General features: G+C 38.0%; 1 protein-coding gene across 1 annotated transcript in view; it reads right to left on the bottom strand.

Annotated features, from left to right (window-relative positions):
• Positions 1 to 15,764, bottom strand: part of UTRN (utrophin) — a 567,700-nt gene that overhangs the window by 298,971 nt on the left and 252,965 nt on the right. The window contains exons 45-48 of the mRNA NM_007124.3: positions 14,621 to 14,770; positions 11,194 to 11,269; positions 5,210 to 5,424; positions 2,982 to 3,099 (exon numbers count right to left, since the gene is read on the bottom strand). Coding sequence (NP_009055.2) covers positions 2,982 to 3,099; positions 5,210 to 5,424; positions 11,194 to 11,269; positions 14,621 to 14,770 — 559 coding nt within the window. The remainder of the gene's footprint in view (positions 1 to 2,981; positions 3,100 to 5,209; positions 5,425 to 11,193; positions 11,270 to 14,620; positions 14,771 to 15,764) is intronic.

The raw sequence follows: 15,764 nt of genomic DNA, 5'->3' as shown, positions 1-15,764 counted from the left end.
CTCTTTTATTATTGTTCATTCCTTTCACTCATTATCACCTTCTCTCTCTTTCTATTTCTCCTCAAGCTTTCTCTCTTCTCCTTTCTCTATTTTTAACAAGGTTTTAAGGACAGACAGATCTAAGGAAACTTTTTTTTTTTTTTTTTTTGAGAGAGAGTCTTGCTCTGTCGCCCAGGCTGGAGTGCAGTGGCACGATCCTGGCTTTCAGCTCGCTGCAACCTCCGCCCCCAGGTACAAGTGATTCTCCTGCCTCAGCCTCCCATGTAGCTGGGACTATAGGTGTGTGCCACCACACCCGGCTACTTTTGTATTTTTAGTAGAGAGAGGGTTTCCCCATGTTGGCCAGGTCTCGAACTCCTGACCTCGTGATCTGTCTGCCTCGGCCTCCCAAAGTGTTGGGATTACAGGCATGAGCCAACGCACCCGGCTGGAAACTTAAATTTTTTATTAATCACTTCAGAGTTAGTTCATAATCTTGAACTGAGGTACTAATAAACAATAACTTAGAATATCCGCAAGAACCTGCTGATAATAAGTAGGTAGAATGTTAAAACCACGCTGCTGAAAGATGCTTTGGATATCAGACAAAAAGAAAGGCTATAGTTAAGTACCAGGCCCAAGAGGAACGTAACTACAAGATAACATTCCAGCTGAGTTATCATGGAACACTTTGGCAAAGTTCTTGGGATAATATATGGTTATAGTGAAACATAAAAGCTATCAACTGGCTGGGTGCAGTGGCTGACACCTGTAATCCCAGCACTTTGGGAGGCCGAGGCAGGTGGATCACCTGAAGCCAGAAGTTCAAGACCAGCCTGGCCAACATGGTGAAACCCTGTCTCTACTAAAAATATAAAAATTAGCTGGGCATGGTGGCAGGTGCCTGTAATCCCAGCTACTTGGGAGGCTGAGGCAGGAGAATCGCTGGATCCCAGGAGGCAGAGGTTGCAGTGAGTCAAGATTGCACCATTGCATCCAGCCTGGGCAACAAGAGTGAAACTCCATCTCAAAAAACAAAAAAGCTATCAACAAGGCTGTTCAGGCCTTAAGTTATACTTACATGTCATCATTCTTTAAAACTTGCTCAATGAGACAATCTGTTTCATTCTGTCTTAGCTGTTTAAATAAATTGCTTAAGTTTTAAACTTAAGGAAGAGAGGCCAAATCTATCATAATGTTCTCTTGTCAGTTAAAAAGTTACATAAAGTACTTATGACCAATTCTATTACTAATAGAATCCTTTAACAGTAAACAAATGAAACCAAAGACATCAAGCGAGAGTAAATATCACAGGTTTATCATAAGAAATAGGCAAATTATCCCATTCATTGTGAGTTAAGCCCTAAAACGAGGTTACTATTGGTAGCAATACATTCCCCCTGGGAAGGGTTTTTCATATAATGAGGAGTGATGAAGGTTATAGAACCTCTACACACACAGAAATATTTATATATAGAGAGAAAATAGAGTGTGTACATTCAATGGGAAAGGGAAGATATTTAGGAGAAGTCTTGTAAAACAAAAAAACAAACACCTGAAAGAAGTTTTGGACAAAAAGAGAGGTGATGGAAAAAATAATAATTAAAAGAAAACATCAAGATGATAGAAAAAGCAAACTGGAAATGGCTTGTCAATAGTTTGGTATCACTAGAGCAGAGGAGCTCCCCTGTGATGTGAGGGAAACCAGCTCACTCCAAAGTTCCATAATAGGCACAATCCATCCATTCATAAAAAGAGAAAAGAAGGAAAATGATGTATTTAGTAAAAATAAGCCAACACTGTTAGACATTAAAAGTTCTTTTCTAATGTATCTCCTATAATAACCCTGTTGCTACCATGACTATTTTGAAATCAAAACATACTTTTTACAGGGAGAGTAGCTGACTTTCTTCCCTTGACAAATATTAGGATTTATCCTTCCAGTTTATATTTTGTCACAAATATTTATTAGGTAGTTAATTTGTATTGGCACTGTTAAAGGCCCAAGGGCAGAAAGACGGATATTCACAATCTATGGAAGAGAGAGACAATTAAAGTAGTTGTAAGATCTATAATAAAGCAATGGGGGGAAAGGCCATAGAAGGAACTAAAAATAGAAATTAACATTCACCAGGGACCAGAAGAGGAGGGAAAGATGTCACAAAGGGGATGACATTTTAGCTGCTGCGTAGAATTGCACCTGGGAAGAAAAGGCCAAGAGAAATAAAATAATGCAAATAAAGGTAAGAAGACTAGGAAATGTCAGGATATTTTAAGGAATAACAGCATAATTACAGGCCGGGCTGAGGGCTGAAGTGAGAAAAGGGGTAGTGGCAGCAGATTGTGACAATCCCTAGGTGTCACTCTTGAGAATTTAGACTTCGTTTGCTATTGGTAGTACATTCCCACTAAGAAGGGTTTGTAGAACCTAGATGCTTCTGAGCTAGAATGCAAACCCCAAGCAAGGATCTTTGTTTGCTATTGTTTTGTATGTTTATTTTTTGTTGTTGTTTTCTCTCATTTATAACTAAAGTATCCCCAAATTAATGCCAGTCACATAAGCACATAGTAGTTGCTCAATAAATATTTGTGGACTGAATTTTGGGTTGAGTTAAAAGACACAGTAAGACCTGATTTTAGAGAATAAAGTATAATGAGAGAAAGGATTTGCATTCTTGTGAGTTCCTTTAACCTTTTTTTATTCCTCTAAAAGAAAGCCTAAGTTAAGAGAAGAAAACCCAATGTGTAAGTAATTACTTAAGAGTCGTGATGTTAATAATTAAGGACTTCATAAGGTTATTGTAACAATGTTCACAAAACATAAAAACAAGGGAAAGCTACATTTCTGTATAAATAAAGAGTAACAAATATTAAACACTATTACTTTCTAGTTGAATAATCTTTGAAAATGTGTTTGTGTGTGTGTGTGTGTGTGTGTGTGTGTGTGTCACCATTTGCAGGGAAAGTGGATGATAATACATAACTTTTTTTAAAAAACTTACATTTTTCTGTAATTGCTGTTCTCATATCTGAACTGGAAGCTTTATTTTTCAAATTCTGTGCCAATGTAAAAACATAATCCAGCTGAGGATGGCGCTGTTCTAAGTCAGCCTTTGTAATCTGTTAAGTAGAAATGATTATTCGGATAGGTTAATAAGCCATATGAGAAGAATAATAAGCAAAACAGTTGTGCTGACATCAAAGTTGTCGTTGTTTTCCTCCTCTATGGCATAGTGAAGCATCAGCAACGTGGCAGAAAATGAGTGCATGATTTAAAGTCAAGGATCCTGCATTCAAATCTCAGTTCTTCCATTTAGCACCTGAGTCACCAGGCAAGGAGCTTTACCTCTCTGTGTTTTTGTTTTCACAAAAAAGAAATAATAAAATACTGACAGCTCAATTACATCCAGTCTGAGGACATTAAACAAAGAAAATCCCTTCAAAAGCTGAAAAATGCCCTGAAAACATTAGCAGTTATTGCTGCTGATGATGACTTGCATATCTGTTCTGTGTCAGGTACGAACACAAACTAATGTCATAGGGTTGGGGGTGACACAGAAAAGTGCTAAGAGGAATAACTATAAATTAAATCCTCTTAGACACGAAAAACTGCTGCTGTAGATGGTTTGTCTCTCAGTGCTAATAAATATGGGAGAAATGGTAACAACATCAGGAAAATCATGTGTTTTCAGTACAGAACTAATGACAGTCATAGAGACTAGAAAGCAATTTACAAAAAATACAAATAGTGGCAAATGACTTTTTCCCAGTCCTTCCTCTTTACAAATTCACCCGTTTTGTAGATTCCAGCTACTCCTTTGGTGTCAAATATTACTTCTAAATGGATTGCTCACAACTTTCAATCCTAAATCCCAGGGCACATGGTAATGAATACTGATCACTTCCTTCTAAATGGCATAAGGACTCCCCACCACAACACGTCTGAAACTAAATCACTCAAACCCTCATTCACACTCAATTTCTTCTATTCCTTATTTCTGCTAATTGCAACAGCATCATCTTAGTCATTTCAGAAAGGGCTCTTTGCCTTGATTTATGCATTTCTTGCCTCCAATCCATCCTAGTCTTCTACTAAAGCAGAGCACGGTTATCATGAGTTCATAAACACAATTTTAAAAAGAAAAAGAAATGGGAAGGAAGATGTTTACCAATTGCTTACAGACTAAAAATCCAAAGGGCTTTGCACAGCCTGCAGGCTCCTTCACAAAGGGAATTTGAGCTGCTTTTCCTGCCTTGTTTCACACTGTATTTCTTAATTGCACAAATGTTGGCCCTACTGTCCTTTGTGCCTCCTGTACCACATGACTTTATTCACTCTGTTCCCTATACCAGGAATGTCACCACTTTGTCCCAGATGCCAAAATCCCACACAGTTTGCTTTCCATCACTGGAGAAGTGATCCCCTTCCTCATCCTGGCTCCCCCAACAGGTTGCCTGTACTTCTCCTGAGGCTTTTATTAGACTCTTGCCTTGCTACAGTAATTTGTCAACTCATATGCACTCAGTGCCTCTGCCTCGGTGTGGACTTATTTGTAATGTGGGGATAAAAACAGTACCTATCTCACAAGACTATTAAAGAATTGAATGAGATAACGTGTACAATACTTAGAAAAATGACCAGCACACATGAAGCACTTAATAAAATTTAGCAAGAGCTGTTATTATTATTTCATTGTAGTTTCCCAATTTCTACCTAGAATATTCTTGTCAGTATCCTTGTACCACTCACAGCCCAGAACTTAGCACACACTAAATAGGGAAAAAGAATTTTTACAAATGAATATTAGATGGTACATGTATAGTAGTAAAGTTATAGGAGATATTCACTTTTAAAATCAGAAATTAATCTCATTATGAAATATAAGTTGCAAAGGCACTTTAGGAGATTATCCTACATCACACAACAGGCATGAAATGCTAACGCCAGCTTATATTTATACTAATGTGCCTAGCTTTACGGTATCAGTTTTAGATTTTAAAAATGCACTGGGTCTTTAGTTTAAGTCAGTAAACCTGATCATATCACAACAGTATAAATGCAAGAAAAGCTCTATGCTTTGTAGTTAGCCCTGAATGGTTGTTTGACAGATACAGAATTTTTTAAACCTCATTCTCTCATAGTTTAGGATAAACAAAAGGGATTCAAACAGATCTGGTCTACCTCTGGGTTGTGGCGTTTCCATGACAAGCTTTTACACTATGCACCTACTTTCATTCGGGAAACGGTCTTATTGATCTCTTCTACATCCCCAACAGTGACAATGTTGGACTTCAGCATCTGGTCGATTAATACCAGCCAGTCGGCTAGTTCTGTTATAGTTTTATCAAGATCAGCAGGAATTGAAATTTCCGAAGTACGATGAGACTGAACAGGAATATCTGACGCAGATGATACTAGCACCACCTTTTGGACATTAGGATGAGCTGAAATGAAAAATGTAGCAAAAGAGAAATTAATCAACAGGATGTTTTAATTATGGTGGTGTCATGGTGACACGTGTATGTGTATTTAAATAAAATTTAGTTTAAGTAAAAAAAATTCTAAGAGGTTATTTTTTCATACTGAAATGGCTATGGTATTACCTGTAATATCCATATGTCTTTGGTAGCTATCAAGCCAACAAAACAGTTTTGCAACATTCTATAACATAATCAGCACTGACACTGAGAAAAATTAAAAGTACAAATGTGGGAGAACTGGAAGTATTATTTTATTTTGGCAAGATGATTTTAATTATAAAGCCAACTTATTCATAATTTTTTATTTTTTTCATTTAACTTTATAATGTGAGCATATTTTATTCTTAGTAAACACAATTATGAATACCTATGTAATAACCTATACCCATATTCACTTTTATTTAACCCTTGGATATTTAGATTGCTCCTGAAATTTTATTTTAATTTTTTAAAAAACTTGCAAAGAATATCTTTTCATGTAGAGTATTTTGCACATTTCTGATCTCTATCTTAGCATAGATTTCCCAAGTAGAATTACTGAGTCAGAAAATACAAAAAAAAGTATGTATTTAATATTCATTGCCAAATTGATTGGTTTTGATACAATAAGTAGTTGAATTAGTAATTAAAACTATCTGTAACCTACTTCAGGTATGATATATTAGATGAGGCTTAAATAATTTTCTAAAATGTATAGCCAATCTGTAAATTCAGCACAATCCTAATAAAAATCCCAACAGGCTTGAATGTAACAAAATCATTAATTCAAATTTCTGGTTATAAAATTAATATTGAAGAGAAAAGGACAAAAAACAGTCAAATTATTTTTTGATAGAGGAATATGCCCTCCCAGATATTAAGTTATATTATTTAGCTAATAATTATTAACTCAGTATATTATAGACTGAGACATTTAAAGAGACCAACAGAAGAGAAGAGTCACAATGTGTAGGTGGCAGAGAAATCTGACCTTGGCAGAGACTGAATTACAGATCAATGAAGAAGAATTTACTGTTCAATTAAGTGAGTCACCACGGCTGCAGCAGGGAAATGATGGGACTGATTTTAACCTCACATACACCATAGAAAAATTAATTCTTAGTGGATTAAGGACCTAAATATGAAAAACAAAATTGTTAGTTAAAAATAAGGAATACTTTTATTACTTCAGAGGACTGAAGTAGCTCTCAAACAAAACACAAAAAAGGGAAGCTATTAATAAACCATTAATGGTTAAGAATTCCAAAGAGCACCATAAGTAAAGATTTTAAAAGCCTTTGAAAGATGAAAGGAGATGGTATTTGCAATGCCCATTGCAGACAAAGAACTGATAGCCAAAATACTTTTTCTAAAACTTAAAAAATCATCTAAAGACAATCCACAAAAGAGGAAATAAAAAAGGCAATAAACATAAAAATGTGAAATAAATGTCTGACCTCTTCTATAACTGAGATAGTACAAATTAAAATGAAATACCCTACATCCACAGGACCACCATCAGAAAAGTGACATCTGAGAAGCTCTAGGTTAAGATGCCTACACTATTATCATCAGCACATTATTTGCCTTTTTAGGCTCAGTCTCTCCCACGTGTACAGTGTGTTTTATCTAAGTCTACATAACGTGACATCACAAGAGACCAAATGCAGAAGCAGAAATAAGAATACAGCTGTGTTCTATTAAACTAGACATTTAAGAGATTTCAAAAAATATAAAACTGCAGCTTTTCCAGGATTTTGTTTGTTTTAGAAAACAGAGTTGTTTGTTTGTTTGTTTGTTTGTTTGTTTTTTCTTTGAGATAGGGGCTCACTCTGTCACCCAGGCTGGGAAGCAGAGGCACGAACACAGCTCATTGCAGCCTCAACCTCCTGAGTTCAAGTGATCCTCCCACCACTGCCTCCTGATTAGTTGGAACTACAGGCCTGCATCACCAAGCCTGGCTAATTTTTTTTATTTTTAATTTTTTGTAGAGACAGGGTCTCCCTATGTTACCCAGGCTGGTCTCAAACTCCTGGGCTCAAGTGATCCTCCTGCCTCAGCCTCCCAAACTGCTGGGATTATAGACATGATTCACTGTGCCCAGCATCTTATGCTAATGTTACAAAAACATGCTATTTTTGTTAACATATAATGGCTTTATTATTATTTTTAAACAACTTAATAAATGAATTAATGGAAAATTTTTCTAGTTAGGTAAATACGGATAACTATCACTCACAAAAGCAAAAGCTATTTGAGGGTCCTCAATAATTTTTACAAGTGTAAAGGGGTCCTGAGAGCAAAGTGTTGAGGTGCTGGTAATGCTGTAGAACAATAAGAACCCATTACACACAGCCAGTGTCAGTGTAAACTGGGCCAAGTAATCCAGACAGCACCCTAATGGCAGCTAGTGAAGTAGAAGGCACCCATATGCTAAACCCAGTGATTCCATCACTAGATATACACCCTACAGAATATCTCACACATCCTTCTGCCCCATCTTCACTTTAACTTTTTTTGTAGATAAAAAAAATTCATTGTTTTAATTCATCAAATACCTATTAAGAACCTATTATGTGTAAGGGGCTATTCTAGACGCTGCAGGCATGAGAGTGTGCAAGACAAAGTTTGGGCTGGAGTGCAATGGTACGGTCTTGGGTCACTGCAACCTCCACCTCCTGGGTTCAGGCGATTCTCCTGCCTCAGCTTCCCAAGTAGCTGGGATTACAGGCGCCCGCCACCACGCCCAGCTAATTTTTGTATTTTTAGTAGAAACAGAGTTTCACCATGTTGGCCAGGCTGGTCTCGAACTCCTGACCTCAGGTGATCCACCCGCCTTGGCCTCCCAAAGCACTGGGATTACAGGCATGAGCCACCGTGCCCTGCCAGAGCTTGCATTCTATCAGGAAAATGGATGTGTGTTATGAAGTAAAATCAATACAAGAAGACAGAGACAGGGTGTATCTGAGATATTGTGGGCAAGAAAGGGCTATTCTAGAAAGGGATATCTGAAGGAGAACTAAAGGAAGTGAGTATGTGAAACATGAAAATATCTAAGAGAAGAACATTTGGGGAAGACAAGAAGAAGGAACACCAAGCACAAAGACCAGAAATGATTACGTTCTTGGCATGTTTGAAACAGCAAGAAGACCAGTGTATTTGAAACAGAATGAACAAAGGGAAAAGTAGTAAGAAATGTGATTAAAGAGACAGGCAGATATGCATGGTGTTCTGGACTAAGGCCAGACTTTGGAACTCATTTATGTGGATGGAAGTGATTAAAAGACTGTGAACAAAGAAACGACACAATCAAACTCGTTTAAAAGAATCACTCTATCTGCTATCAGAGGAATAGGTCATGGAGAAGTACTGAGGCAAGAATAAAATCAGGATTATGAGTTAGGAGCATATTCCAATAATCTAGATAGAAAGATAAGGGTGTTCAAGACCACGGAAGTAGGTGGAATGGAACATGGAAATGATGCTACTTGCTGATGGATTGAATATTAATTCCAGAGAAGAGTTGAGGTTGACTACAAGTTTATTGGCCTAAGGACTGGGTGAATCATCTAAAAAAAAATGTCTACAGTTCTGGGACTGGTAAGCATAGGTAGAAAAGAGAATTTAGAGGATTGTAGTATATCCAATGTTATGTAATACTGTACATCAGTTTAAATGAGTAGACTAGAGCTACATGCTTCAAAAGGTATGGCAATAAGGATGATCTAGTAGCTATCAGAGAAAGAGGATACGTAAGCAGCCCAGAGAATATGGGATCCTATGCATAAGTGGAGGAGCTGGTCTTAGGAAAAGAGATAATAACCCTTTCACTGAATAGGAAGGAAGTGTGTAAAGTATATGGGTACAGCCGCAGGTAGCTTGATGGATTCTCTGGTGGGAAAACGAAAAAGGTTTTTTTTTTCTTTTGAAAATGAGATGAGGTCACTAGTTGAGAAATGAGTACCAAGGAGTACTCAGAAGAAAGTACGGTAGGACTGTCTCTTAGCGCTGAGTGCTTATTTGAAATGAATAGTCATAGCTCTGAAATGAGTACAGTCGGCAAGGTGTTGGCAAGGATGAACCTCAAAAACATTATGCTAAGTAAAAGAAGCATCGTATGACTCCATTTATATGAAATATCCAGAATAGAGAAATCCATGGAAACAGAATGCAGATCGGTGGTTGCCAGGGGCTGGGAGTAGGAGGGAATGGGAAGAAACTGCTTAATGAGTAAGAGGTTTTAGTTTGGAGTGATAGAAATATTTTGGAACTAGATAGAAATAGTGGTTGTACAACATTGTGAATGCATTAAATGTCACCAAATTGTTCACTTTAAAATGGTTAATTTTATTTTCTAAATAAAATGTTAAAAAGAAGGAACTGAATTAAAACACTGCGTAGGAGGAGAGAGACATACTAAGATTAGCTTCAGGTCTCAGGCCTATCCCAAGGACGAATATCCTGTTAAAAATGAGCCATCCACCTAATGGAAGTTGTAGCTTTGCTGTTAGCTTTTTATACTTCTAAATATGTATTCAAATTTTCCCTGCTCCTTTACCATATAGAGGTTTTAAAAAGTAAGATAACCCATGACGATTTTATAAAATGCATCAAATTCTTTCCCTATGATTATGGAGTTGAGCCTGTATTTGCAAAGCAGCAGTACCCAAATGTCAACTCAAGTGTTCTGAATATTAATCAAGAAACTTGATCAGGCCCCAGGTACTTTTTGTGCAAATTTCCAGAAATACAAGTAATAAAAAACACAAACTTGGTCCTCAATTAGCTTGCAATCTCGAAAAATGAAAAAAAATATATTGTCTGTCATCACTTTTTTCAAAACTTGAGGGGAGGAGGAGGAAGAGAAGGAAAAGAAAAGAAAAATAAGAGGAATAAGAGAAATAAAAAGAACCCTCCCAAAAAAAAGAGGTAGAAGAGGTAGAGGTGGAGGACGAGAGAAGAGGTAGAAAGTAGAAGGTGGACATGGAAGTCAAGGAGGAGGAGAAGGACAAGGGAGAAGAAAAAAGCGGGGAGGAGCAATAAAAAGAATCAGCAGAAGCAGCTGTCAGGGAGTGAGTGGACAGTTAGAGTTGGTCACATTTGCGGTTTTGCCAGGTGACTCAACAGAGGAAGAGCAGGGCATGATGGTTCAGAAAACTTGCAAGGCAGTGGCAACAGTGGCTATGGGGCAGGAGCCTGCGATCTAATCTGGATAAAGAGAGAAGGAAATAGTGAGAAAACATTCTTCTTTCTCCACATCCAAGTGAGAAGTATTTGTCTCCTAGGTTGGAGAATGCTTCTAAATATCCATCCCCCACCTGCTTCCCAGGATATCTAAGCCTTTTGTTCTCAGTCATGATCAGGGTCTAATTACATATGTTAACCAAGCTCATGTTAACACAACAAGTTATAGCTGATTTCCTGAAAAGCTGCCTGGACCCAGAAAACTAGTCCCCAGTTTTTGCACCTAGCCTCTCATCTTCCCTTCGGCAGGACCTGTGGATGCCCAGGTAGCACTGGAGTCCAGAGAAAGGCCAGCCTTATCTGCCGCGAGAACAAATGCCTTACCCACACTGGGCAGCCAAATGTGTCTTGGGTTTAAAGAAGATGTTCTTTCCAAATCATTGAAAGTAGATTAAATAAAGAAAATGGCACGACGTTTCTAAGTCTTTCTAATTCATGTATGAGGCTCATATCACAAAATTTTACATACTGATTTTTTAAAAAACTTTGTTAAAGATAAACATATCTTACCAGCAATCCTTGTCTGTGAAACAGAACTGGGCTCCTGGATGCATTCCTTCAGGGTGGTAGGCACCTCTCTGCAAATCTACCGCATCAGGACAAACAGAAAGAGAAGAATACTACGTAAATAAAGATGACTGTAGTTCAAAAGAAGAGGTGTTATTCTGAATGGCAGCTCTGCTACTTTTCTTCCCCTAACGACCTAAACTTCTGGCTCTACCTTCACTCTCCATTGCAATCTTGTTTGAGCCCCTAACTCCACTGACATTGCTATCAAAAACACCAACCAGTCCTTAGCTGTCCTGACCCCTGTGCACCAGTTAATGCCGTCCACTCCCCCTCCCTTGAATTCTGTTATTACTCTGCAATTCTGGCTTTCCTCCTACCTCTCTGGCTGGCTCTCCTGAATTTCCTTCACCAACTCCTTTTCCTCTGCCCATCCATCAAATACCAATATCCTTCAGGGCAGCTGTGTTGCTCTTCTTGCCCTTCACCCTGGGCTCTCCCTGAGTCCTGGTTTCCAAAGATTTCAGGAATCAAATGGAGTTTTGAGAGGCTAAAGACTGCCCAAAACATATCTTCAGTCCAGCCCTCTCTGTGAACTAGATATTCAGATATGTCCACATCTGAATTCCTTATCCCTATCTTCCCTGACACCCGTTTCATAAACTCTTCTGAAGATTCTAACTCATCTTTCTATATCAATTCTTAGGATCACTTCATCTATCTCCGTAGTGAAGCTATAGCAATATTTCAAAAACATGACTTTCCTCTGCTTAAAACCCATCAATAGCTGCCCACTACCCTCAAAGTGGTAGATTGTTTGCAACATGGAGCTCAAATTCCTTGTGATGCACAGTGAGTCCTCCAGGATCTCATCTCTGAGAACATCCCTCAGCCTTCCATTCTACAGTGGGCTACTTCCTGGACCTATATACACTGTGCTCATTCTCTGTCTCTTCTAGACACTTTCATTTGCCACTTCTCTCTACACTGCACTTTCCCTCATTCTTCACCCGACCAATACTTATTCATCCTTCGTAAATTAACCAGAATGTGATCTTTTCAACAAAACCTTCCACAGCTACCCCTCAAAGCCAAGCAGGTGCTCCACCTTTATGTACCCATCACTACCTGGATGTTATAATTGGTTGTCTGCTGGTCTCATCCATGATAAGCTCTTTGAGTTAGAAGGAATGCCACACTCTTTAATGCATTCCTATCTCTTAAAATGATACCTGGCAGAAAGTGAGACTCCAATAAAAACCTATTGAGTGAATGAATGACTGTATGAATGAATGAAATAAACCATGTTAGAATTTCCCAAATTATGTTTGTTGAGATTTTCTGCACAATGAGCATTGTTGGTCTTAGACATTCATAATTCACCAAAGTGAATTATATTAAAATTTACATGAAATTCTGCAATAACCAAAGCTCTAGCTTTGTCTGACATAGTGCACCCAAATTAACAACTGTGCCCTTTTCTGCAGAATACCCACTGATACCCTTTGTGTTAAATAAATATGTGTGCTCCGACTGAATATGGACAACCTTTCTGGCAAGTGACACAGGACCTAACATGTCTGGAAAGGAGTGTAGGGGAGAGAGAGCAGTGGATATTGTAGGAGAGATCACAGGACGCCAGGCCATGAGAAGCCTCATAAGCCAAAAAAGCATTTTGGCTTTCACCCTGAGCAAGATAGAAAACCATTGGTGGACTTTGCTCAGATAAGTCACTTGATCTGAATTATGTTTTAACCAATCATATTGGCTGCTTTGTCTAGAACAGAATAACAAAGGGCAAAGGAAGAAGCAGGGGAGATGAGTGGGGCAGCCTTTGTAGTCATCAAGACAAGAGATGATGGCAGGCTTGAAACAAGTTAGTGGCAATGGGGGTTGTAAGAAGCAGTCAAATGTATGATATTTTTTGACCTAAGAAAAGTCGAAAGAATTGTAGAGGAAATATCTATGTGCCCTCTGACATCTACAACTGTCAAACTTCTGCTACATTTGCCTTATCACACATAGCCATCTGGCTATCCAATAAACCATCCATCCAGTAGATACGTATTTTGAAGGAAAAGCTGCTAATGGTGACTGAGGTATAGTTTTTGGTTTGGGGGTTTTCTTTGTTTCTTTTTGTGATAGAATTCATATACCATAGGATTGACTCCAATATTTCTGACTTAAGTAATAATAAGATGAAACTTCCATTGACTAAGGTGGGAGATGTATATTAAGGCACAGAAGGGAGAGGGATATCAAAAGCTCGATTGTGTATGTTAGTTTGAGGTGCCTATTAGACATTTAAGGAGAGATGTTGAGCAGGTAGTTGCATACACAAGTTTAGAGTATGGAGAAAGGTCCAGACCAGAGATACACATGTGTGAATCACAGTGACTCAACAGGCAGTGATTCCCAATCAGAGAGACCAGATCAATAAAGCACCTGCATCATTAGCTATAGGATAATGGCTACCATTTAAAGAGGATGAGAGAGAAAATGACTGATATGGAGTCCATCCAAACCAAGGACAGAGACATATCCATTCAATGTCCTATACAGACGTCATACTCTGAAATGGTGTGTACCAGGTCAAACAAAAAAGATATCTATGACTTTATCTACTTTTAACCGTTTCAATGGCAAAAAAAAAATAATGGTAGGAGGGAAAGATATTAGTTGTATTTGTAGTCACATGCCATTACATTTCACTGGAACCTAGTAAATATATATTTAATGAAAAAAATCATTGAAAATAAACATACATGTGTGAAAAGTCATGTGCAAAATCAGGATGCTATTTTCTTTATTTATTTCTTTTTTTTTTTTTTGAGACAGGGTCTCCCTGTCTCACCCAGGCTGGGGTCCAGTGGTGTGACTGCAGCTCACTGCAACCTCCACCTCCCAGGTATAGGCAATTCTCGTGCCTCGGCCTCCCAAGTAGCTGCGATTACAGGCGTGTGCCACTACGCCTGGCAAATTTTTCTATCTTTAGTAGAGATGGGGTTTCACTGTGTTGGCCAGGCTGGTCTCAAACTCCTGGACTCATGTGATTCCCCCCATCTCGGCCTCTCAAAGTGTTGGGATTACAGGTATGAGCCAACACACCCGGCTCAGAATGCTATTTTAAGGTCTTCATTTTCAGAATATCATCACTGGAATTTTCTTACTAATTCCAACATATATTCATTATTTAATGTAGTATATAATGTATAAATCCCCTAGGCCAAAGAGTTCTGTATAAAATAAAAAGTATTCTTCTAGAATATATGCCTCTGTCTATGACAGATAAAAAATATAAACATTAGTAAGCTTTAGTAAAATTTGCCCCATTTGGACATACTTGAAAGTAAAGCAGTTACATGATCCCACATCTCTGACAACAAAATCAATAAATATGAGAAATGTGTGATAGTAACTTTACACACACCTTATTCCATGTCATATTTACAGTCCTTAAGCTTTCTGAAATTTTATCCCTTTCAGGTAAACTCAGACTTTTATCTGAAAGCATCTCCAATTCAGTTCTATTCAGCCATTTGAGTTTTTCAGCATGTACTTCCATTTCTTGAGTTAAGTCCTGGAGAAGTTAAAAGATAGGTGTGGTTAGAAGGTAGTCAGATAAGGGAAAATTCAAGAACTGTATTAGAAACCTTTTTGGTATTATTACAAATGTAACTTTCTAATTTGTTAAGTGAAAAAATAAACTTATAAGAAGCTTAAGCTCATGCTAACAAATGATAACTAGGAAGGGAGTGAGCACATGCCTTCTGTGTGTATTTTTGCACTCCTGTGCACAAACGGGCTCTCTGGTACTCACTGTCTCTTAACCGGGTCATATATTATTTTTACACTGCTAATTTAACATTCTGTTCTTATCTCCTCCTTGCTACTCCATCCTAATATACTGTTCCACCTTTTCTAACTCTCCTCAAATTGTTTACAAAAGAGACATTCCCAAAAAAACCACTGAAATTTTTAGGTAAAAAAGGAAGCTTGTTAGATATTGTCACATTTTAAAAAGAAAACTTAATATATGTTCCACAAAATATTTTTCATCATTATTCAATGTTTCTTTCTCAAAATGCTTCAATCATACTCCTTTATAGACAAAATCTCTGAATTAGTAAGTAACCTTTCACACACACTTATGCTTGTACATGTATGAATACACACTCATAATTTCTTTTTTTTTTTTTTTTTTGAGACGGAGTCTCGCTCTGTCAGCCAGGCTGGAGTGCAGTGGCACGATCTCGGCTCACTGCAACCTCTGCCTCCTGGGTTCATGCCATTCTCCTGCTTCAGCCTCCCGAGTAGCTGAGACTACATGCGCCTGCCACCACGGCCAGCTAATTTTTTTTTGTATTTTTATAGAGATGGGGTTTCACCATGTTAGCCAGATGGTCTCGATCTCATGACCTTGTGATCCACCCGCCTCGGCCTCCCAAAGTGCTGGGATTACAGGCGTGAGCCACCACACCCAGCCCACAATTTCTTTTTTTAAAAAAAAATGTGAGCACATTATGCTGAGTGTTCTGCAACAAGTATTTTAATTCTTAACACAAAAAATAAAT

This window comes from Homo sapiens, chromosome 6 (genome assembly GCF_000001405.40).
Source record: "Homo sapiens chromosome 6, GRCh38.p14 Primary Assembly".
NCBI classification, from domain to species: domain Eukaryota; kingdom Metazoa; phylum Chordata; class Mammalia; order Primates; family Hominidae; genus Homo; species Homo sapiens.
This window is presented reverse-complemented; position numbering and strand designations above follow the sequence as displayed.